A 22959-nucleotide genomic window follows, 5' to 3' on the forward strand; every position below is an offset into this window, starting at 1 on the left:
AGATGAGAAGAAAGCCATAATTGATTGTGTGAGCCATCAGAAGTAGTAAATGTGATAGGTACTAAGTAATAATAAGTGACCTCATAAAATACATCAGCGAAAATTTGCAAGCCGGGCAAGACTGGAAGTGTGAAGGAAAAGTGGCTGTTAGCGTGAAGCAGTGCTCTCCTCGCTCCCCACCCCAGTCTCATTCCTCAGCTGGACATGGGTCTCACCTGGGCCGGCTCATGTACCCTCAGTGCAGCAGTGACCTCAGAAGCCCACTCTTCGAGTCCCAAAGCCTGAATTGTTCTGAGATCTTCTCCAAGATGCTGATCTCCTCTAGAACAAAATTATTCCAGGTCTGATCTTACCTCCAGCAATCACAGCCCTCCCAGCACTTTCCCTATTCCTTTTTGGCTTCCTGACATTCCTAATAGACTAGTATAGGAAGGGAGGTAGGGCTCAGGAAGCCTGGCCAGTGGCTGTTTGCCCTGCTGTATTACATTCCTTGTCAGAATGGTATTTGTGGACCACCTTTGGAAACTGATCAGGAAATGGAGTGTATTAAATCACTAATATAGATTTGAAAATAAACTTAAAAGCCCAGGGTGAAAACGTGTCATTGCTCTCCGCAGGCCAAAACCCAGAACAAAGAAGAATCCTATGACTTCTCCAAATCCTATGAATATAAGTCAAACCCCTCTGCCGTTGCTGGTAATGAAACTCCTGGGGCATCTACCAAAGGTTATCCTCCTCCTGTTGCAGCAAAACCTACCTTTGGGCGGTCTATACTGAAGCCCTCCACTCCCATCCCTCCTCAAGAGGGTGAGGAGGTGGGAGAGAGCAGTGAGGAGCAAGATAATGCTCCCAAATCAGTCCTGGGCAAAGTCAAAATATTTGAGAAGATGGATCACAAGGCCAGGTTACAGAGAATGCAGGAGCTCCAGGAAGCACAGAATGCAAGGGTAATTGTTTTTAAACTACACATCATCAATAAGAGTTTTAAATAAGTTTGATTTCAACATAACAGCGAACAGCCCCTTTGCTGCTGCTGCAGATGTGGCAGGGATGCACTGCACCAAAGGCAGGTGCTGTGTATGTCACTTCAGATTGCCAGCTCCCAGCACGTCCCTTGTTCTTCCAAAGAAGAAAACTTGACAATATAGGGGAAGAAGATTCTGCTCTTTATACACAGAACTTTGTATAGAGTTCTGGAATGAGGAAGTGTGAGGAGGGAATCAGTGCCTCTCGGAAGTCGTTTTAATTAGAATGTGATTTTTTTTTCTTAAACGTGTCTTCATTGGCTCCCAGATTTGCCGTAGAAACCAAGCAAACTGGGTGCTAAAACAGAAAGGCCCATAGATTGTACTTTTTGAGCTGTTTGAATTTGTATACCATATGCACATAGAACTTTTCAAACAAAGAAGAATTTAACTAAAGGTCTGTGGAGTATATTTGCCCAGTAGATGTGGGAGTTTTCTTTCAGGTCTAGCACAACAGCAGCAGTACATCTGAGCATTTTTCTTTTCTTGTCGTAAAATATACATAACATAAAATTTACCATTTCAACCACTTTTTTCTTTTATTTATTTTGTTTTGTTTTGTTTTGTTTTGAGACAGGGTCTCCCTCTGTCACCCCGGCTGGAGTGTAGCAGTGTGATCACAGCTCGCAGCAGCCTCCACCTCTCAGGCTCAGGAGATACTCCCACCTCAGCCTCCTGAATAGCTGTAACCACAGGCACATGCCACTGCACCCAGCTAATTTTTCGTATTTTTTGAAGAGACAAGGTTTTGTCATGTTGCTAGGCTGGTCTCGAACTCCTGGGCTCAAGCAATGCACCCTCCTCAGCCTCCCAAAGTGCTAGGATTACAATCATGAGTCACTGCACCCAGCCTCAACCATTTTAAAACGTTCGGTTCAGCGGCATTAAGTACCTTCACATTGCTGTTCAGCCATCACCACCATCCATCCCCAAAACTTTTTTATCCTTCCCACGTGAAACTCCGTACCCATAAAATACTAACTCACCACTCTCCTCTCCCCGCAGTCCCTGGCACCCACTCCTTTACTTTCTGTTTTTTGTGAATTGGACAGTGTAGGAACCTCCTATAAGTAGAATCATACACTATTTGTCTTTTTGTGATTGGCTTATTTCCCTTAGCATGATGTCCTCAAGGTTCATCCAGGTTGTAGCATGTGTCAGAGTTTCATTCCTTTTAAATAGTTTTCCTGTCTGACGTGTACCGCACATAACCATGGAAATGAGGAGGCCGCTTCTGTGTTTCCTCTTCTTGAAATGGGATGGGAAAATAAGTAGGATATGGGGAAAGGGTGGGACCAGCAGGAAACCAGCAAGCAGAGTGCCCAGTGGTTCATTCTTTCACTCTTATTCTTTTCTTTTTTAATTACCACAGATCGAAATTGCCCAGAAGCATCCTGATATCTATGCAGTTCCAATCAAAACGCACAAGCCAGACCCTGGCACGCCCCAGCACACGAGGTAAGGGCTGCCTAGTGGGTACAGGTCTAAGGCGGGGACTTCTCAAGGACTGGGACTTGAAGAAAGAATTTCCTTTACCCAAATTTCAGAGTAACAGGAGGATTTTTTCCCCACAGATTGACTGTTTGCCTTACTCATTCCATCAAATTTAATTGTAAAGATTACAGAGTCAAAACTTAAGCATAGTTTGCTTGTGTGCTAAAACTCTGACAAAGTGTAATCATTGATGTTTCCAGCCAGTACATTTGACACATTGGAGCCTGGTTATGTTACATTGCACATGGTTAGCACATGAGCAGAATTCCTACGGCTTAGACCTGTTTTGTCTTGTTTGCTGACTCTCAGCCAAACTTCTTAATTCCTTTGCATCATCCAGCAAAGTCAGACCGCTTGTGCTGCCCTGGGGTCTAAAGGGACCGTGACAAGCAAATGAGCAGTCTTGGTAAATGCCACACAAACAGTAGGAATGTTCACAGTGTCTTCCTGTTGAAGTTTTATACTGGATTGCTTCCTGCTTCCGAGAATAGAAAAAAAAAAGTCACATTTTCTTGTGGCCATTCTTTTGTTTTTTTTGGAGACAGAGTGACTGTCGCCCAGGCTGAAGTGCACTGGTGCAATCTCAGCTCACTGCAACCTCCGTCTCTCAGGTTCAAGCGATTCTCGTGCCTCAGCCTCCCGGGTAGCTGGGATTACAGGTGTGTGCCACCATATCCAGCTAGTTTTTGTATTTTTAATAGAGACAGGGTTTCACCATGTTGGCCAGGCTGGTCTCAAACTCCTGACCTCCGCCCGCCTCGGCCTCCCAAAGTGCTAGGATTACAGGTGTGAACCACTGTACCCAGCCTCTTGTGGCCATTCTGACTGGAAGCTGAAGTCTAGTTTTCCAGTGATAGAAAACTGGAAACAAATTTCTTCTTTACCAGCTGAGTGGTAACACAGTCAACCAGGTTGCCTCTGGCAACAAAGAGTTCTTGGTTATGATGGACTGAAACTGGCAGAGACCTCGCTGCTGGGTGAGACTAGCCAGGGAGCTTAGGGGTAAGGAGGGCACCCCCTGTCCAACAGGGAGATTCTTAGGTCAGGGAGCACCTGGCTGGCTTCCTCACTCACCGCCGAAGTGGGCATTGGATTTGACCTATTACGAACCTGGAGCAGGACCAGGGATGCCCTGGTTGCTCTGCAGAATGTGGCTCAGAGGTAAGTGATCTGCTCGGGATACCCAGTCACTGTGCTCAGAGCCATGCCTCCCCGGGCAGCCGGAGGACATGGATGTGCTCTGGAATGTCTTTAACACCCTTTTTTTGTTAGTTCCAGACCCCCTGAGCCACAGAAAGCTCCTTCCAGACCTTATCAGGATACCAGAGGAAGTTATGGCAGTGATGCCGAGGAGGAGGAGTACCGCCAGCAGCTGTCAGAACACTCCAAGCGCGGTTACTATGGCCAGTCTGCCCGATACCGGGACACAGAATTATAGATGTCTGAGCACGGACTCTCCCAGGCCTGCCTGCATGGCATCAGACTAGCCACTCCTGCCAGGCCGCCGGGATGGTTCTTCTCCAGTTAGAATGCACCATGGAGACGTGGTGGGACTCCAGCTCGTGTGTCCTCATGGAGAACCCAGGGGACAGCTGGTGCAAATTCAGAACTGAGGGCTCTGTTTGTGGGACTGGGTTAGAGGAGTCTGTGGCTTTTTGTTCAGAATTAAGCAGAACACTGCAGTCAGATCCTGTTACTTGCTTCAGTGGACCGAAATCTGTATTCTGTTTGCGTACTTGTAATATGTATATTAAGAAGCAATAACTATTTTTCCTCATTAATAGCTGCCTTCAAGGACTGTTTCAGTGTGAGTCAGAATGTGAAAAAGGAATAAAAAATACTGTTGGGCTCAAACTAAATTCAAAGAAGTACTTTATTGCAACTCTTTTAAGTGCCTTGGATGAGAAGTGTCTTAAATTTTCTTCCTTTGAAGCTTTAGGCAGAGCCATAATGGACTAAAACATTTTGACTAAGTTTTTATACCAGCTTAATAGCTGTAGTTTTCCCTGCACTGTGTCATCTTTTCAAGGCATTTGTCTTTGTAATATTTTCCATAAATTTGGACTGTCTATATCATAACTATACTTGATAGTTTGGCTATAAGTGCTCAATAGCTTGAAGCCCAAGAAGTTGGTATCGAAATTTGTTGTTTGTTTAAACCCAAGTGCTGCACAAAAGCAGATACTTGAGGAAAACACTATTTCCAAAAGCACATGTATTGACAACAGTTTTATAATTTAATAAAAAGGAATACATTGCAATCCGTAATTTTCTTTGTGGTGGATTTGTATGCTACTTCCTATTTTTAAATGCAACTTTTATTTCAGTTACTAATCATAGAAGTGATTACTAACCTCCTTGTCGAACATTGGAAAATGGAAACGTGAAAAAGAAAATTATACCCATAATCCCATCCCTCAGATAATTTTGGTGTATTTTCTCCAATTACGTATTTGTGGATGTCTGTGTGTATGATACTTGAGGGTGTACTGTGTTTGTAGTTCTATTTCCTATTTTTTCTGTTTATCATTCTATCACTAACATTTCTCAAGTGGTTACAACTGTGCAGCAAGGTATTTAAAGCGTGGTGTACACATCATCATTAACAACCACAGAGCAATATATCCCATGGCTGCTTCATAAGTGAACAATTCTGTTGTTGGCTGTTCGGATTATTTCCAGTTGTTTGCCTTTTTTTTTTTTTTTTTTTTTTTTAAACATGAAATGCACCTCTTTGTATGTAATCCAGTTTTGTATATCATTGATCAGCATTTCAGTATTTTTCTGCAGGCAAGTTCTCAGAAGTAGAATTACTGAGTAAAAGAATAGGAACATTTTTAAGGCCCTTGATGTTTACTGCCAAATAGCTTCCTAGAAAAGTTGCATCAATTTACACCCCCACATCCACTCTTCCTCTTCCTCTTCTTCCTCCTCCTCCTCCTCTTCTTTCTTTTCCTTTCCTTTCTTTTCCTTTCTTTCCTCCTCCCTTCCCCCCTCCCTCCCCCCCTTCCTTCCTTCTTTCCTTCCTTCCTCCCTCCCTCCCTTCTCTCTCTCTCTTTCTTTCTCTCTTTCCCTTTTTTTTTTTTTTTGACAGGGTCTTGCTTTGCTGCCCCCAGGCTGGTCCTGTTCTTGAACTCCTTTAGCAATCCTCCCACCTCAGCTTCCCAAAGTGCTGGGATTACAGGCGTGAGCCACTATGCCCAAACACCACTTACATTCTTGAAGTACTAAAATAAATTTAGAATTTAAGCAAGACAGATTAGGAATTTCGGCTTGTATTAATAAAAAGAACAATGAATTTGGAAAAGGAGAAAAGAGTCTTGGTTCCATTAAGGGTCTTTTATGATATGAATTGACACAAAGGAGTTAGGCTTGTGTTTTAGTGGTGGCAGAAATTTGGCTTACTGGTAACTGAGTTATACTATAAAGGTGCCCTTGCTTATGTCTCTTCCAATATGGGTGCTGTCACTTATAAATCATTTAATGTATCTCGAATTTCTGAACACTCCTCAGGGCATTGACTAAAATTTGCATATTCCATAAATAAAAGCCACCTTTTGTGAACAGGAGAAAAATGTACTAGTTAACTATATGATAAGACTGTTTGTTTGTGTTCTTTAAATCCAGGAATGAGCCCTTTGCAAACATAGGTGGGGAGGCGAGGAGGCTTTCAGCAGGAGCTGGGTTGTCGTCTGGTTCCAGCAATTTTGTGATGCGGGCAGTGCCACTGTTCCTCAGAATGTCCAGCAGTGTGCCTGATGGACCCCCAGTGCCTTCACCACCCCTTTTTATTCATATCCTCCTTTGTTCTGGGAAAGATTTAAAGCTGCCTACAGTATACATGGAACATAATGAAAAAAAAAAAATGATGCTAAGCAAATGAAGAAACAGGGAGAAGAGTATCAGTAGAGGGAAGATAGAGCCATGAGTGAGAGCCGTGTTCATTTTCTGCGCCGTCAGGACTCTGCAGCTCTCCAGAAGCCAGTGTGGCCCCAGCGGCACCTGCATCTATGATAGAATTATGCCTGTGCTTCTAGCCCAGTGAGATAGATGAGCGATGGGTCTTCCAGAATGACATCAGATGCTACTGATGTCACTAACATCAGTAGTAATTTGACACTAACAAATTTCTTTATATGAAGTAAAGTTGGTTAGGAACAGTCCATTTAAGCAATCGCAGCTGTCTTTTAAGAGAAAGGTTCCCAGTCAATCTTCTCCCTCCTTTTCGAACCTCTTTTCAGTTGGGGTCATTTTGCCAGTTCTAGCTTTCATATACATATGTGAAGAGAAAGAGATTTATTTTAATGAATTGGCATACAGGGTTGTAGGGGATTGGTAAGTCTAAAATCTGAAGGGTAGACCAGCAGGCTGGAGACCCAGGGGAGAGATGCAATCCAATCCTCCTAGCTGGTGTGAGGTCAGTCTTTGTTCTGTTTTAAGGCCTTCAACTGATTGGATGAGGCCGACCTACATTTCAGAGGGCAATCTGCTTTACTCAAAGTCCACCAATTTGAGTGTTAATCTCCTAAATAAAACAACAACAACAACGAAACTTTTACTGAAACAACCATAATAATGTTTGACCAAATATTTGGGCATCATGGCCCGGCCAAGTTGATGCATAAAAATTAACCATCGCAGTCCCTCATCCTGTTTACCATGTAGGCCACCCTACAGCCATCCTTTTTGTTTAGTGTTAAAGCATGAGTGAATGAATGAACCAGAAAAAGGGAGAATTATTTACATACATATACACGTATGTATAGGTTTTGTACAATATATATACTCTGGATATACATGTATTATAAATTTTGTTTTTGTTTTATTATTTTTTGAGACACAGTTTCACTGACCCAGGCTTAAGTGCAGTGGTACAGTCACAACTCACTGCAGCTTCGATCTCCTGGATTCAAGCAGTCCTCTCACCTCAGCCTCCCAAGTAGCTGGGACTACAGGTGTGTGCCAGCATGCCCAGCTAATTTTTGTATTTTTTTTGTAGAGAAGAGGTTTCACCATGTTGCCCAGACTGGTCTTGAACTCCTGGGCTCAAGCGATCCATCCACTTTGGCCTCCCAAAGTGCTGGAACTACAGACTACAGAACTACAGAGCCACCGCACCCGGCCTATATTTTGTTTTAAATAAAGATGAGCAAATTTGATGAATAGAAAAGCATTAAAAATGGGCTGGCGTGGTGGCTTATGCCTGTAATCCCAGCATTTTGGGATGCCAAGGCAGGTGGATCATCTAAGGTTAGGGGTTCGAGACCAGCCTGGCCAACATGGTGAGCCACCGTCTCTACTAAAAATACAGAAAATTAGCTGGGCGTGGTGGCGGGTGCCTGTAATCCCAGCTACTTGAGAGGCTGAAGCAGGAGAATCGCTTGAACTCGAGAGGCAGAGGTTGCAGTGAGCCGAGATGGCTCCATTGTACTCCAGCCTGGACAACAAGAGCAAAACTCTGTCTCAAAAAAAAAAAAAAAGAAAAGCCTTAAAAATGAAGAAACAAAAATGAATGAAATTTGAATAATAGAGCTGAAACTCCAATAAAAATAAAAATACTTCATATTTAAAAATAATATTTAGTGAAATAAATGAGACAAAAGGCTGAATGGCAAATAATATGTATATATGTTTGTGTATATATACAGAGACAGATAAAACATATTTCCATCCTGCTTTTTATTTTAAATCTCATTTATATATACATAGATAGAAAATTGGCACATTTTATATTCCCCACACTAGTGACTGCAAAGGCACTTATAGCACTTTGGCATTTATTTTGCGCAATAAGAAGTGGAATGTGGTTTGATTGCTTCTGCACTGTCCTCGGATGCCGTTCCACCTTCGAGAGTCCAGGTTGCTCTGTCTTTCTGAGTTTGAGTCTGTCTAGGAAGGATAACTGGGGAAGAAGATCCTGACTGAAAGTATCCTGGGGCCAGGTGCGGTGGCTCATGCCTGTAATCCCACCACTTTGAGAGGCTGAGGCAGGTGGATCACTTGAGGCCAAGAGTTCGAGACCAGCCTGGCCAACACGGTGAAACCCTGTCTCTAAGTAAAATACAAAAATTAGCAGGGCGTGGTGGCAAGTACCTGTAATCCCAGCTACTCAGGAGGCTGAGGCAGGAGAATCGCTTGAACGCAGGAGGCAGAGGCTGCAGTAAGCTGAGATCACACCACTGCACTCCACCCTGGGCAACAGAGCGAGACTCCGTCTCAAAAAAAAAAAACACCAAAAAGAGGCCGGGCACGGTGACTCACGCCTGTAGTCCCAGCACTTTGGAGGCCAAGGGGAGTGAATCACCTGAGGTCAGGAGTTCAAGACCAGCCTGGCCAACATGGCGAAACCCCATCTCTACTAAAAATACAAAAATTAGCCAGGTGTAATGGTGCTTGCTTGTAATCCCAGCTACTCAGGAGACTGAGGCTGGAGAATCGCTTGAACCTGGGAGGTGGAGGTTGCAGTGAGCCGAGATCGCACCATTGCACTCCAGTCTGGGTGAGAAAAGCGAAACTCCATCTCGAAAAACAAAAATAAAAACAGAAAGAAAGTATCCCGAGAGACATGGGTTGAGCTTTGAAAATGCAGCTGTCCCTTGGTGTCTGTGGAGGATGTTTCCTATGACCTCCCATGGATACCAAAATCCAGCGATGCCCAGGTCTTTGATATAATGGTGTGGTAGGCCGAGTACAATGGCTCATGCATGTAATCCCAGCATTTTGGAAGGCTGAGGGGGAAGGATCGCTTGAGGCCAGTTCACCTGGGCAACATAGTGAGACACCACCTCTAAAATAAAAAATAAATTAGCTCAGCATGGTGTCGCGTGCCTGTGGTCCCAGCTTCTCTGGAGACTAAGGTGGAAAGATGGCTTGAGTTCAAGAGTGTGAGGCTGCAGTGAGCTATGATCACACCTCTGCACTCCAGCCTGGGTGGCAGAACGAGATGCTGTCTCAAAAAAATAAATAAAATAAAATGGTGTGGTATTTGCATATAACCTACATACATCCTCCTGTATACTTTAAATCATCTCCAGATTACTTATAGTAGCCAATACAGTATAAATACTGGGTAAATCGTTGTTATCTTGTATTGTTTTTCTATTTGTATTTTTTATTGTTTTTCTTTACCCCCGGGGAATATTTTTGGTCTGAGGTTGGTTGAATCCGAGGATGCAGAACCTGCAGGTATAGAGGGCCCAGTGTCCAGGAGACCCACCTCTGAGGTTCAGGGGAGAGAGGAATGGAGAGAACCTGGACCTGGAAGAAAGGAGGGGAGGGCTGGAGCAGGGCAGGAGCTTCCCCTCTCTCCTCCCCCTCCTTCCCTAATCTCCCACCACATGCTCTTTCTTTTCCGCTTTAATTCCCTTCCCTCTGCCCCCGTTCCATTCTCACACATTTCCATTAGGAAGCACAGAGGGGCCCACCATAGGGTCTGTGGGAAATGGAAATGGTGACTCCACACAGGAAACACGGCTCCACCTCATGAGAAGCCTGGGAAACGGGCATGACAGCAAGACAGTTTGGAAGGGTATTAAAAAGGGAACCGCTAGATCCTGAATGCTGTCCAAATAAATGCACCTTTGAGTCCCAGTGAAACATATGATTTTCTGGGCAAATCTAATATGTAAATTATTCACACCAGATATTTTAAAATATTAAAATGATGTTATACATCTATAAATACACTGGCATTTTATTACTCAAAATAATATGGTGAGTCAGAATATAAAAACCACGAATGAAGTCCCTATCCCAAATCAGATGTTAGTTCCTCCCCAAAGCTGGTTCTCTTATTATCCCCATCCTTCTGAGGCAGCCACAAAAATTATGAACTCAGATTCTGAAATCAAAGTGACTTTCATTCAAACTCCAGCTCTGTCAGGTACAAGCTGTAAAACCTTGGGCAACTTACTTAAATGTTTTAAGCCTCAGTTTTCTCATTTATAGAATAGGAATGGAAAACTATAACTAACATGATGCCCTAAGTTTTTTGTGGCATGTTAATCAGATCGCATATATAAAATGTTTGCAATAGTGGCTGGCACAAAGTAAGTGCTCAATAAAAGCAGCTAGTATTATTATCACTGTCAATGGTTTTGCCACATCAATTTAGAAACCTGAGTGGTGTCTTTGATTTTCTTACTCTTCCTCCAAGTGATGACCTACTTTATTATACTTAATAACTATTTTTAACTTGTCCCTCTGTCCCTTTTCCCACAGCCACTACCCTAGTTCAGATGGTTGTAAACTTTCTAATCCTCCACTCAGCTAGCAGGCAGAATCATCTTTCTAACTTAGATCTGAGAATGTCTCCCTCCTGCTTGAAAAACAGTGATGACTTCCCCTTGCCTAGAACCAATTTCTTTTTCTCTTTTCTTTTTTTTTTTTTTTTTTTCTAAGATGGAGTCTCACCCTGTCACCCAGGCTGGAGTGCAATGGCGCTATCTCAGCTCACTGCAACCTCCGCCTCCTGGGTTCAAGCGATTCTCCTGCCTCAGCCTCCCGAGTAGCTGGGGCTACAGGCGCGTGCCACCACACCCAGCTAATTTTTTTTATTTTTAGTAGAGACAGGGTTTCACCATGTTAGCCAGGATGGTCTTGATCTCCTGACCTCATGATCCACCCGCCTGGGCCTCCCAAAGTGCTGGGATTATAGGCGTGAGCCACCGCACCCGGTCTCAATTTAATTTTTTTACAGCATTCAAAATGATTTTCCACACCATCTGTCCCTATAGTAGACTTCATCACTGGCTTCAGTTCTTCATCCCTCTATGTCCTCTATGTATCTGTGTCCTCTGTCCTGTGACTTTACAGCTCCTCCCACTAAAGGTCAGAAGTTATTTCTTTGACCCTTGGCTTTGGATTGGCCATATGACTTGTTGTCTTGCACCTCTGCTACCCATGAGAGGTGCTGTGTGCCCAGGGCAGCACGAGAGAGATGTAAACAGAAGCACTCTAGCTGAGTCCAGCCTAGATCAGCCAACCCACAGATGTATGAGAAATAATAAACAAGGGTTGTTTTAAGCCACCGAGTTGGGGGGTGAGTTGTTATGTAACAATAAACCTCCAAATCCTTTCCATGTAACTTCGTCCTGCAAAACTCACGTATGCTCTGATTATATGGAAGCACTCCCTGAATTCTCTGTGGCTCCCTCCACTGGAGGATATCCTTCCTCTTTCTTTACCATCTTTTAAAACCCTATTATCCTTCTAGGTCCAGTTACTATGTCACATTTTCTGTCAAGCCTTCTCTGATGCCCCCAATCAAATTTGTCATTGACTTCTTCAAAAAGCTCCCATATCCCTTTATCTATATCCTCTGGCATTCTAGTTATTGATGCACAAATCTGCTTCCCACTAGCTGCTTCTCCTCCTCCTTTTCCTCCTCCTCCTCTTCCTCCTTCTCCTCCTCCTCCTCATGGAGTTTTGGTCTTGTGGCCCAGGCTGGAGTGCAATGGCACGATCTCGGCTCACTGCAACCTCTGCCTCCCGGGTTCAAGCAATTCTCTGGCCTCAGCCTCCCGAGTAGCTGGGATTACAGGCACATGCCACCATACTCAGCTAATTTTTGTATTTTTAGTAGAGATGGCATTTCACCATGTGGGCCAGGCTGGTCTCAAACTCCTGACCTCAGGTGATCTACCCGCCTCGACCTCTCAAAGTGTTGGGATTACAGGCGTGAGCCACCGCGCCTGGCCCCCACTTGCTTCTAAGTTCCATTAAGGGAGGTGTATCTGTATTCACCTATGTATTCTTATCAGTGCCCTATATGAAAAATGGAGTGAATTAATAAGGAGAGAAATAAATTGAAATTCACTATTTGCTTTTATGACAAAAGAGGGTTGATGACATAATGATTTTCTCACATCATGCCTGGTTTAAACTTCAACACTTGACACCACTGACACAAACTGGAAAACATTAGTAGAAGTGGAGAAAATCTGCTAAGATCTTAATTTGACCAGACTAATGTTAAAGTGTAATTTTCAAAGGGGTGAAATTATTCTCATGCAAGTATAAAATGAACTCAGTACTAAAAGAGGGAACCAATACAATGTTAAGACTCGTTTAAAGCGCATTTGAGGAACTAGGTAATATTAATATAAGCAATTTAAGAAATATTCGGATAAGAACTTTGAGTTGATACAAAATTGATTAATTACCTACAGAACAGTAAATGATAACCTTTGTAAATATCTTTTCCACTAGACAGAAATTATTTGCATCTCTACCAGACAAAAATTTACACACTGACATGTAATTTCAGTAAGTCTGGGAATTTTGATCAGTAGTTTTAGCACTAATCAGTCATTATGGAATTATTATGCTTAGTAATCACCTAAACTATTTTGTTGGTCATTTAATTCTCTAGATTTGGATTATAGCAGGAAGGCATGTTAAGTCAATTAAATATTTATTGACTGCCTCTGTGTGCAGATAAACACAGGCATTATGGACTAAATATGACTTATTCTCTGCCTTCACGTTCAACATTGTAAATTTTTTAGTTTGCTCTATTCTTTAGAGTTTACGATAAAATTTCCTGAATAGTTTGATTTGTTCTTTGTAACAGCCCTGCATAGTAAGAATGGCAGGTGTGACTATGTCCATTTTATTAGTAATCCATACCTTAGTTCTGTAACTTGGTTGGAGTCCTTCAGATTATAAGTCACACATACAGTCTAGATTCAAAACAGTTTCGTGCTTTTGAGTCCAGTTTCCCTCTCTTTCCATCTAGAGCTCCCTTCTGGAGGATCTCTTGAAACAGTTTGTTGATCATGTCTTATGGTTCTCTATTTACATTTTTAAAAAGCACTTTAGAGCTGAGTCTGCAAACTGACAGAACCCATGGAACTAACCTAGCTCAAAATACGATTTATTTGGCCTGAGTGAGGTGATGACATTTTTAAATTTAAAAATGAAGTCCAGATTTCGGACTTTTCTTTTTCTTTTCTTTTCTTTTTTCTTTTGAGATGGAGTCTAGCTCTGTTGCCCAGGCTGGAGTGCCATGGCGTGATCTCAGCTCACTGCAACCTCTGCCTCCCGGGTTCAAGCGATTCTCCTGCCTCAGCCTCCCAAGTAGCTGGGATTACAGGCAGACGCCACCAGGACCAGCTAATTTTTTGTATTTTTAGTAGAGATGGGGTTTCACTGTGTTGGTCAGGCTGGTCTCAAACTCCTGACCTCATGATCCGCCCACCTTGGCATCCCAAAGTGCTAGGATTACAAACGTGAGCCACTGTGCCCAGCTGGGACTTTTCTTTTTAAAAATGGTAAGTTTTGGCGGGTCACAGTGGCTCATGCCTGTAATCCCAGCACTTTGGGAGGCCGAGGCAGGCTGATCACCTGAGGTCAGGAGTTTGAGACCAGCCTGGCCAACATGGTGAAACCCCGTCTCTACTAAAAATTAAAAAAGCCAGGCGTGGTGGTGCATGCCTATAATCCCAGCTACTCGGCAGGCTGAGGCATAAGAATCGCTTGAACCCGGGAGGCTGAGGCATGAGAATCACTTGAACCCAGGAGGCAGAGGTTGCAGTGAGCTGAAATCACACCACTGCACTCCAGCCTGGGCAACAGAGATAGATTCCATATTAAAAAAAGAAAAACAAAAAAAAGGTAAGTTTGGTGGTGCTGGGCATCCATCCTTGCATGACAACTGTAGGCTGGAGCTGGGTGGCTGCTGCTCCGTACAGACAGCACTCACCCAGACTGACTCACTCATATGGCCCTCCTAATGTCTCTGGGCATTGAGTTTGCAACCCTTGCTCACCTCTTTGCTGCTTCCTCTTTCCCCTTCGAGTCCCATGCAACGTGCAGCACCCACACGGCCTTAAGGAGAGCCAGCATTTTGAAAGTGCATGCAGAAGGAACTCTGTAGCTCCCTGCGTGGGTCTCCGGCTTCCTCTGGAAGACGGGCTCTGTCACCAGGCTCTGGTGGGAACTAATGAGCATATGTTTTCAGGTCCTGTTCTCTGTGGCTATTACAGTTTAAATGGGTTGAAATAAGACATAGAGATTCAGGGGAACATGGGGAATATATTTTTGTGGTTTAGAATTTTATTTCCCAAAGCTGTGCTTTCTGAAAGATTGCTGTTCTGAAAGATTGCTGTGTTAGCAAAGGTTAGGTTAGGTTAAATTAGGCTAGATTAGGTTAGGTTTAGCAAAGGTTAGGTTAGGTTAGGTTTGTGGACATGGTCCTGGAAAAAGCATTCTGATAATTCTCTAAAGAAATAGAATGTTCTCTAGCACATAAGCAGGAGATTAGATAATAATTTTAAGTGCAGCTGCCGGGCTCCCTGTGCCTAACCCTAACCCTAACCCTAACCCCTAACCCCTAACCCTAACCCTAACCCTAACTCTAACCCTAACCCTTTAGGACTAAGTTAATTAACATCTCCTAAATTGAACACTAGTTATTCATTAATAGATACGCATGTGACAGAGGCAAAAGGAAATTAATTGCCTAGTCTTTCCCATTTGGACTAACTTGCCTAAGAGGAGTCGATAGAGGTTTATTTAGCCAAAGTTTGAGGATGCACCCAGGAAAAAAACCTGCAACCTGTGCTTTCCTAAGAGAGTTTTGGGAACTCAGTATTTAAAGGGAAAAGGACAAGCAGGAGGGAAATAAAGGAGGAAGGGTGGGCAGTGAGGCAAATGGTTATGTTCTCCTGAGGCTCTGATTAGTGCTCAGTAAATCTATATTTTACATATGATAAAGTAAACGTGAAGAGAGGGAGTAGCTGGAAAGTCAATTATGCGTTTTTCTCAGGGTGGGTGGAGGGGTGATTTCTGGTCTCGTCCTTGTCGATAAGCTGGGCAATTGACATTGTCGGGTGCGATTGAACAGAACTTGGTTTTAGGGCTAGTTTATAGGGGGTGATATTTATCTGGAGAGATTTAGGGGCTCACAAGAAATTTCCTTGTGAGCAAATTCTGAGAGAGGCCATCTGAGGAGATACTTGGCCTCCTATCCTTGTGGGAGCCTGGCTTATGGATGAGGCTATGACACAGGGCTGTGAAATGACACCCATCTGAGAACAAAAGGAAAGGCAGTATTTTGTGACTCATTTCCCAAGCTTATCTTTCCCTTTGGCCTAGTGAGTTTGGGGTTCCCGAGTTTTGATTTACTTTCACATCCCAAGGGATAGCAATGCTCAGTGGGACGGGAAGGGGAGGCGGGTGCCTCGTCGCTATTCACCACTTTGTTACTTGCTGCACAAATAGTTGCTCTGTGCGAGGAAAAGGGCCTTGTGAGAGGGAGCCTGGGAGGCTGCGAGGCTGGTAGACAGCTAGTCACCTCATCTCGGGTTCAGAGCAAGGGCTGACATCTCAGCGGATCTGGCTTCAGCTCCTCACGGGTCCTGTGCCCTGTCAGTTGCCTACCCTTTCGGGGCGTCAGGCTCTTCATCTGCAAAATGAGGAAAGCAGAATTTCTTTCCACAAAGTGTGGTTGTGATAATTCAGTGAGGAACCTGGGTGAGTGACTGGCTAGAGCAGACACTACAAAAATAGTAGCCCCGCCCCTTCCGCCAATATACATTAGCTTCCTTTCTTCTCAATGCTAAAAGCGTGGAATCCCTCCGAGGGCAGTGAATGGACAAAGTACAGCGATGGAGAATGTTGGCCCTGGAGCAGACTGCCTGTGCTTGAGCCCCTCCCTGAAAATTGGTGATGATGCGACCTTGAGCTAACTGTACAACCTCTTTGTGCCTCAGTTTATACTTAATACTAGGTATAAAAATTGCACCTATCTCAAAGGGTTGATTGTGAGGATTATATACTATAGTGCAGGTAAGCACTGAGCACAGGGCCAGGCATATAGTAGAGGCTCAACGAACATCAGTCTTTTAAAAAAATAATAATAATAACTAGATGCAGCCGGGTGCTGTGGCTCACACCTGTAATCCCAGCACTTTGGGAGGCCAAGGCAGGCGGATCACCTGAGGTCAGGAGTTTGAGACCGGCCTGACCAACATGGAGAAACCCTATCTCTACTAAAAATACAAAATTAGCCGGGCGTGGTGGCGCATGCCTGTAATCCCAGCTACTCGGGAGGCTGAGGCAGGAGAATCGCTTGAACCTGGGAGGTGGAGGTTGTGGTGAGCCGAGATTGCACTCCAGCCTGGGAAACAAGAGCAGAACTCCGAACAACAACAACAAAAAAAAAACACACACAACAACAACAACTAGATGCAAAAGTTCATCTCTTTTTTTGAAAACTGAAGTAAAAATTACATAAATAAGAGTAACTATTATCCATTTATTTATTTATTTATTTATTTATTTATTTATTTATTTTTGAGACAGAGTCTCACTCTGTCATCTAGGCTGGAGTTCAGTGGCACGATCTCGGCTCACCGCAACCTCCGCCTCCCAAGTTCAAGCAATTCTCCTGACTCAGCCTCCTGAGTAGCTGGGACTAAAGGCATGCGCCACCACGCCTGGCTGATTTTTGTATTTTTAATAGAGACGGGGTTTCATCACGTTGGCCAGGCTGGTCTCAAACTCCTGACCTCAAGTGACCCACCTGCCTCAGCCTCCTAAAATGCTGGGATTATAGGCGTGAGCCACTGTCCCTGGCCTATTATTATCCATTTTAAAGTGTGCAGTTCAGTGAAATTTCGTGGGTTGACAATATTGGGCAAACATCACCTCTATTTAGTTTGAAGATATTTTAATCATCCAAGAGGAAACCCTGTACCCGTTAAGCAGTCACTTCCTATGCACCCCTCCCCTAGCCTTGGCAACTACTGATCTACTTCCCGTCTCTATAGATTTGCCTATTCTGTATATTTTATATAAAAGGATGCATACAATATGTAACCTTTTAAGACAGGCTTCTATGGTTCATCATAATATTTTTGAGGTTCAAAAGCCATTATTTCGATTATTGCTATCCTCTGAACTCCTCTGGCTAATATCCCAGCATTATTAGCTTACTTTTGGGGAGTGAAGGTACTTTTAAAAAAACAAGTTAATGGTTAAAATGCTCTTTCTGGACAAATGGAGCCTCTTTCTGTGCATGTTTAAGTGTCAGACACCTTAGGGTAAGTGGGAAAGAAAGCTATCCCTGGGTCACTGAAGCCCCACAGTGGCACAAGTGACAGGGCGGGATGTGCCTGCCTTGCTAGTGGGAAGACCCAAAGGAACAGATTAGGGCTGAATTGTCCCTTACCCACAGCTACAGTTTATGAGGCTGGAGAGCAAATACCAACATTTAGGGAGCAGAATGCTGAAGACCAGCATGAAGAACTGTGTCCACATTTCTCCATGTCACTGGGCCTTAGGCAGGTGTTGAGCATTGAGGTAACAGGCAAAGGGGTCGACAAACAATGCCTCACACTAGGAGCAGGAGAGAGAAACTCCAGGGATGGCAGCCCAAAGCCCTTGCCCAGGGAGAAGCTCCTTTTAAAAGAAAGTCATCAACCTGACAAACCAGTCATAGGTCCTTTCCTGTAATATGCACTTATTGAGTGCCTGGCTACCAGGGTCATGAAAATTAACAAAATGAGGTCCTAGGAATGTCAGTGTCATGAGGAACAAATAAGTGAATCCGCATAAAGGGCTTAGACCAGGGTCTGGCATATAGTACTCAATGAGCATTAGCTGTTATTATTACTGTTATCATGGTGGCTTGATTGATGGATTATTTTCTGATTATTAATTGTAGTAGTAGCAGTAGCAGTAAGATAGGGAAATAGATGGGTAGATAGATACATGCACAGATAGACAGATAAATAAATATCAATTCAGTCCTTTGGGGATGGGGGATTCTGTCAGTTGCTGTGTAGATCTTGTGTTAGGCCATTCTTGCATTGCTACAAAGAAATATCTGAGACTGGGTAATTTATAAAGAAAAGAGGTTTAATTAGCTCCCAGTTCTGCAGGCTGTACAAGCATGGCACCAGCATCTGCTTAGCTTCTGGTGAGGCCTCAGGGAGCTTTTACTCATGGCAAAAGATGAATTGAGAGCAAGAGCATCGCATGGCTAGAGCAGGAGGAAGGAATAGAGAGTAGGGAAAAGTGACACACACCTTTAAAGAGCCAGATCATTGGGCGCGGTGGCTCATGCATGTAATCCCAGCACTTTGGAGGTCGAGGTGGGTGGATCACCTGAGGTCAGAAATTTGAAACCAACCTGGCCAACATGGTGAAACCCCGTCTCTACTAAAAATACAAAAATTAGCCGGACGCTAAAATTAGGTGGTATAAACCTGTAGTCCCAGCTACTTAGGAGGCCGAGGCATGAGAATCACTTGAACCTGGGAGGCCGGGGTTGCAGTGAGCTGAGATTGCGCCACTGCACTCCAGTTTGGGCGACAGAGCAAGACTCCATCTCAAAAATAAATAAATAGCCAGATTTTGCAAGAAGTCACTATCGCGAGGAAGGTACCAAGTCATTCACGAGAGATCCGTCTCTATGACCCAAACACCTCCCACCAGGCCCCACCACCAACACTGGGGATAACATCTCGACATGAGATTTGGAGGGGACACATATCTAAACTATATCAGATCTATTCCAATTACACGTTTCCAAAATGGGAAAATAACCACAGATGACTTCAGGGACCCACCACCACTACTGTGATGCAAACCTGAGCTCCATAGATCATGGACCTTCATAGGTCCTCTCTAACTGGTGGGCAACAGTGGCATTTGGTTCTCCAGAAAGTAGTGTCCATTCAAAGCCAGTGACTAGTAATCCCTCCCAAAGTCTGGTTACTCCCCCTTTTCCAATCCAAAGTCACTTAGTAGGTGACCTCAGGTGCCTTGGGGGAAGGCTGGGAGGTGTAAATTTCTGGTAGTTTAGCAAGTTTTTTCCTCAAGGGGCCCTGGGTCTAAGAACTGGTGCAAGTGTGGAAATTGACTAAGGGACCATATGTCTCCATTTTGATGATTCTAATCCGACTTCTCTTGACCAAACTTAGAGCTTTTTAGCTTACACAAACAAGTAAGACTTTAGAAAGCAAGCCATGTATATCAATTCTAGAGACAGCCTAATCAACTAACCCATTACTAAATCACCGCCAGTCTGGTTAAAGATTACTGTTCCACTCTACGGCCTATCCTTATAACCATACCCATCCCTGTAACCGTGCTCACCATGTCTTTGGCAATCAGGTATAGCCACGTGGCCTCTACCATCCAGAGTTCCCATCACTTCCCTATCAGAGAAACCCACCAACAGGGAAAGGATCAGAAATTGCAGCTGGACTTTTTAACTCCAAATGAATGTTTGAAGGCTCAGGTCTAAATTTCTGGATATTGATACAATATAAATGTGTGGTTAATACCTTGATCTATTCTTTAAAAAAAAAAAACTTCCTTCAAATCGATAAGGAAAGCTGAAAGCCCAATAGTAATATGGGTAAGGAATAAAATTTTTGAAAAAGCAATACAAATAGCAAATGAATATATGAAAAAATATTCAGCTCCACTAATAACAATATGAAAATAAGAAAACAATGAAATAATATTTTTCATCTGTGGGGAAGGATACAGAGAAAGAACCCTAGAGTTCATGTTTTGTAGTTGGAAGTATAAATTGGCACAAATTTTCTGCAGGACAACATAGCAATATACATCAAAACCCCTAAAATAGATTCACCTTTGATCCACACTTCCTTTTTGTGATATAATAGATTAAATATAAAAGTATATTAAGATGGCCGGGGACGGAAGCTCACTCCTGTAATTCCAGCAGTTTGGGAGGCTGAGGCAGGCAGATCACCTGAGGTTAGGAGTTCGAGACCAGCCTGGCCAACATGGCAAAACCCCATCTCTACTAAAAATACAAAAATTAGCTGGGCATGGTGGTGCATACCTCTAATCCCAGCTACTGGGGAGGCTGAGGCACGAGAATCACTTGAACCCGCAAGACGGAGGTTGCAGTGAGCCGAGATCATGCCACTGTGCTCCAGCCTGGGTGACAGAGTGAGACTCTGTCTCAAAAAATAAAAGTAAAAATAAAAATAAATGTATACATGTATAAAGTTGCCACAGAGATGTTTTTATGAGAAAAAACTTGGAAACAACCTAAGTGTTCAACAATAGGGATTTGTTTTAAATAAATTATGGTAAATCCATGGAATATTCAGATATTCATTCATTCATTCAACAAGCATTTAATGAGCACCTACCTTGTACCAAATACTGTTGTAAAATTATCTGTTTTTATGGAGAGGTTGGAGACACAGAATAGATAAATGTTTAAAGTTTAGGTCATATGAGTGCTGTGATGAGAATTAAAAGGGTGATGTGATAAAGAGTGACTGGGGGTAGGGTTACTTTAGGTAGGTAGGGAAAAGTCTGAAGAAGTATCACTTAAGAAGAGATGAAGATGGCAAGAGGGATATTAGAAATCATTATGTATATAAGCTTGTTTTTTTTTTTGAGACGGAGTCTCACTCTGTTGCCCAGGCTGGAGTGTGGAGTGCAGTGGTGCTATCTCGGCTCACTACAACCTCTGTCTCATGGGTTCAAGAGATTCTCCTGCCTCAGTCTCCTGAGTAGCTGGGACTACAGGTGTGCACCATCACACCTGACTAATTTTTGTATTTTTAGTAAAGGTAGAGTTTCACCATGTTGGCCAGGCTGGTCTTGAACTCCTGACCTATGGTGATCAGCCCACCTCGGCCTCCCAAAGTGCTGGGATTACAGGTGTGAGCCATCATGCCTGGCCAATCCTGTATTTCTTGACATGAAAATATATTAGAAAACCTATTTTTCAGCACTTTGGAGGCCAACGCAGGCAGATCACTTTAGGTCAGGAGTTGGAGACCAGCCTGGCCAACATGGCAAAACCCCATCTCTACTAAAAATACCAAAATTAGCTAGGAGTGGTATTGGGCGCTTTAATCTCAGCTACTCAGGAGGATGGGGCATGAGAATCGCTTGAACCTGGGAGGCAGAGGCTGCAGTGAGCTGAGATTGCACCATTGCACTCCAGCCTGGGTGACAGAGCAACAGTCTGTTTCAAAAAAAAATAGAAAACCTATTTTTTTTCGTGAAACCGTATATATGAGGGTAAGGTGGGGTGGGAGGTGGGGAATATGCTGGAAAGATGTCCAAAGGAACTGACTATGGTTAGACTACTTTCCCAGCTGCTAGTACCTGAAAACCCGTCTCAAAGCTCATTTAATAATACAGGAAGTTATTGATCATGAAACTGAAAAGTTGAGGCTTCCAGGGGCTCAATAATGTCTCAGAGGGGCTGGTTTCTTTCTGTCTCTTCTGCATGCTTGGGGGTTGCTTCACCTCTCATGATCCCAAGGTGGTGGTCAACAGTTCCTAGGGCTACATATTTCCTCATTCAGGGGGAGTAGAGAATATCTTTGCTTCAACATCCTAGAAACAGACATGAATGTCACTTTAATTGGACTGGCTTGGGTGGCATGACTGATCCCGAACCAAATTCCTTGGCCAGGGCAGTGGGCTATGATGATTGACTTAAACCATTGAGGACCCAACCACAGAGCTGAGAGTGAGTCAATCTCTGCACCACCAGCCTGAGCACTGGCAGGGAGAGGACATTTCCCAAAGGAAGGGTGGGGAAACCTTTCCTAGATGAAAGGGGGAAGGAGCTGCATAGCAAATACTAGTAGTTGAGTACAAAAAAAATCACCAAAAACAAATAATGGTTGTATCTGAGCTTTGAATCATAGGATAACTAGAGATTTTCATTTCCTTTTCTATACTTTACAATATGTCTGAATTCTCTCTCTCTCTCTTTTTTTTTTTTTTTTTTTTTTTTTGAGATGGAGTTTCACTATTGTTCCCCAGGCTGGAGTGCAATGGCATGATCTTGGCTCACTGCAACCTCTGCCTCCCAGGTTCAAGCGATTCTCCTGCCTCAGCCTCCTGAGTAGCTGGGATTACAGGTACCTGCCACCATGCCCAGCTAATTTTTTGTATTTTTAGTAGAGATGAGGTTTCACCATGTTGGCCAGGCTGGTCTCTAACTCCTGACCTCAGGTGACCCACCCCTCTCGGCCTCCCAAAGTGCTGGGATTACAAGCGTGAGCCACTGCACCTGGCCGTCTGAATTCTTAACAATGAAAGTATATTAATTTTATAACTACAAGACAACATAGCTTCTTCCACTTTTTAAATCTAGCAAAATGAATGACATCCAATAAGTGGATGAAGATATGTTTTTTGGCTTTGAACTTGCCTCTTCTTCCCTAAAGTATTGTCCTTGGAGCAAAACCGGCTATTCTGGCCTTTTCCCTAAGTTAAAAAAAAAAAAAGAAAAGGACCTGGTCACTGCTGGGCTTAAGGATCTTCACTGTTCACAGAATCTCCCTCCTATCCGCTCTGTCTCACTTAACAATTTAGCAGTGCCTGCACTTGTTCTTCCCCACTTCACGGTGCTATTCTGGGCCATGGTAATTATTCAGCCAGTGGAGAGTTCTCTTCTGTGACAACTGAGATACCT

General features: G+C 43.5%; 1 protein-coding gene across 20 annotated transcripts in view; it reads left to right on the forward strand.

The window, feature by feature from the left end:
• Nucleotides 1-4791, forward strand: part of TJP2 (tight junction protein 2) — a 133945-nt gene extending 129154 nt beyond the window's left edge. For 11 of the 20 annotated variants that reach the window (XM_011519206.3, XM_011519208.3, XM_047424090.1 and 8 more), the window contains 3 exons: nt 618-947; nt 2398-2483; nt 3792-4791. In XM_011519206.3, the coding sequence (XP_011517508.1) occupies nt 618-947; nt 2398-2483; nt 3792-3957 (582 nt within the window). In that variant the 3' untranslated portion in view covers nt 3958-4791. The remainder of the gene's footprint in view (nt 1-617; nt 948-2397; nt 2484-3791) is intronic. The other 9 variants (NM_001369870.1, NM_001369871.1, NM_001369872.1 and 6 more) reach the window with 3 other exon arrangements.

The sequence above is a fragment of the Homo sapiens genome, chromosome 9, assembly GCF_000001405.40.
Source record: "Homo sapiens chromosome 9, GRCh38.p14 Primary Assembly".
NCBI classification, from domain to species: domain Eukaryota; kingdom Metazoa; phylum Chordata; class Mammalia; order Primates; family Hominidae; genus Homo; species Homo sapiens.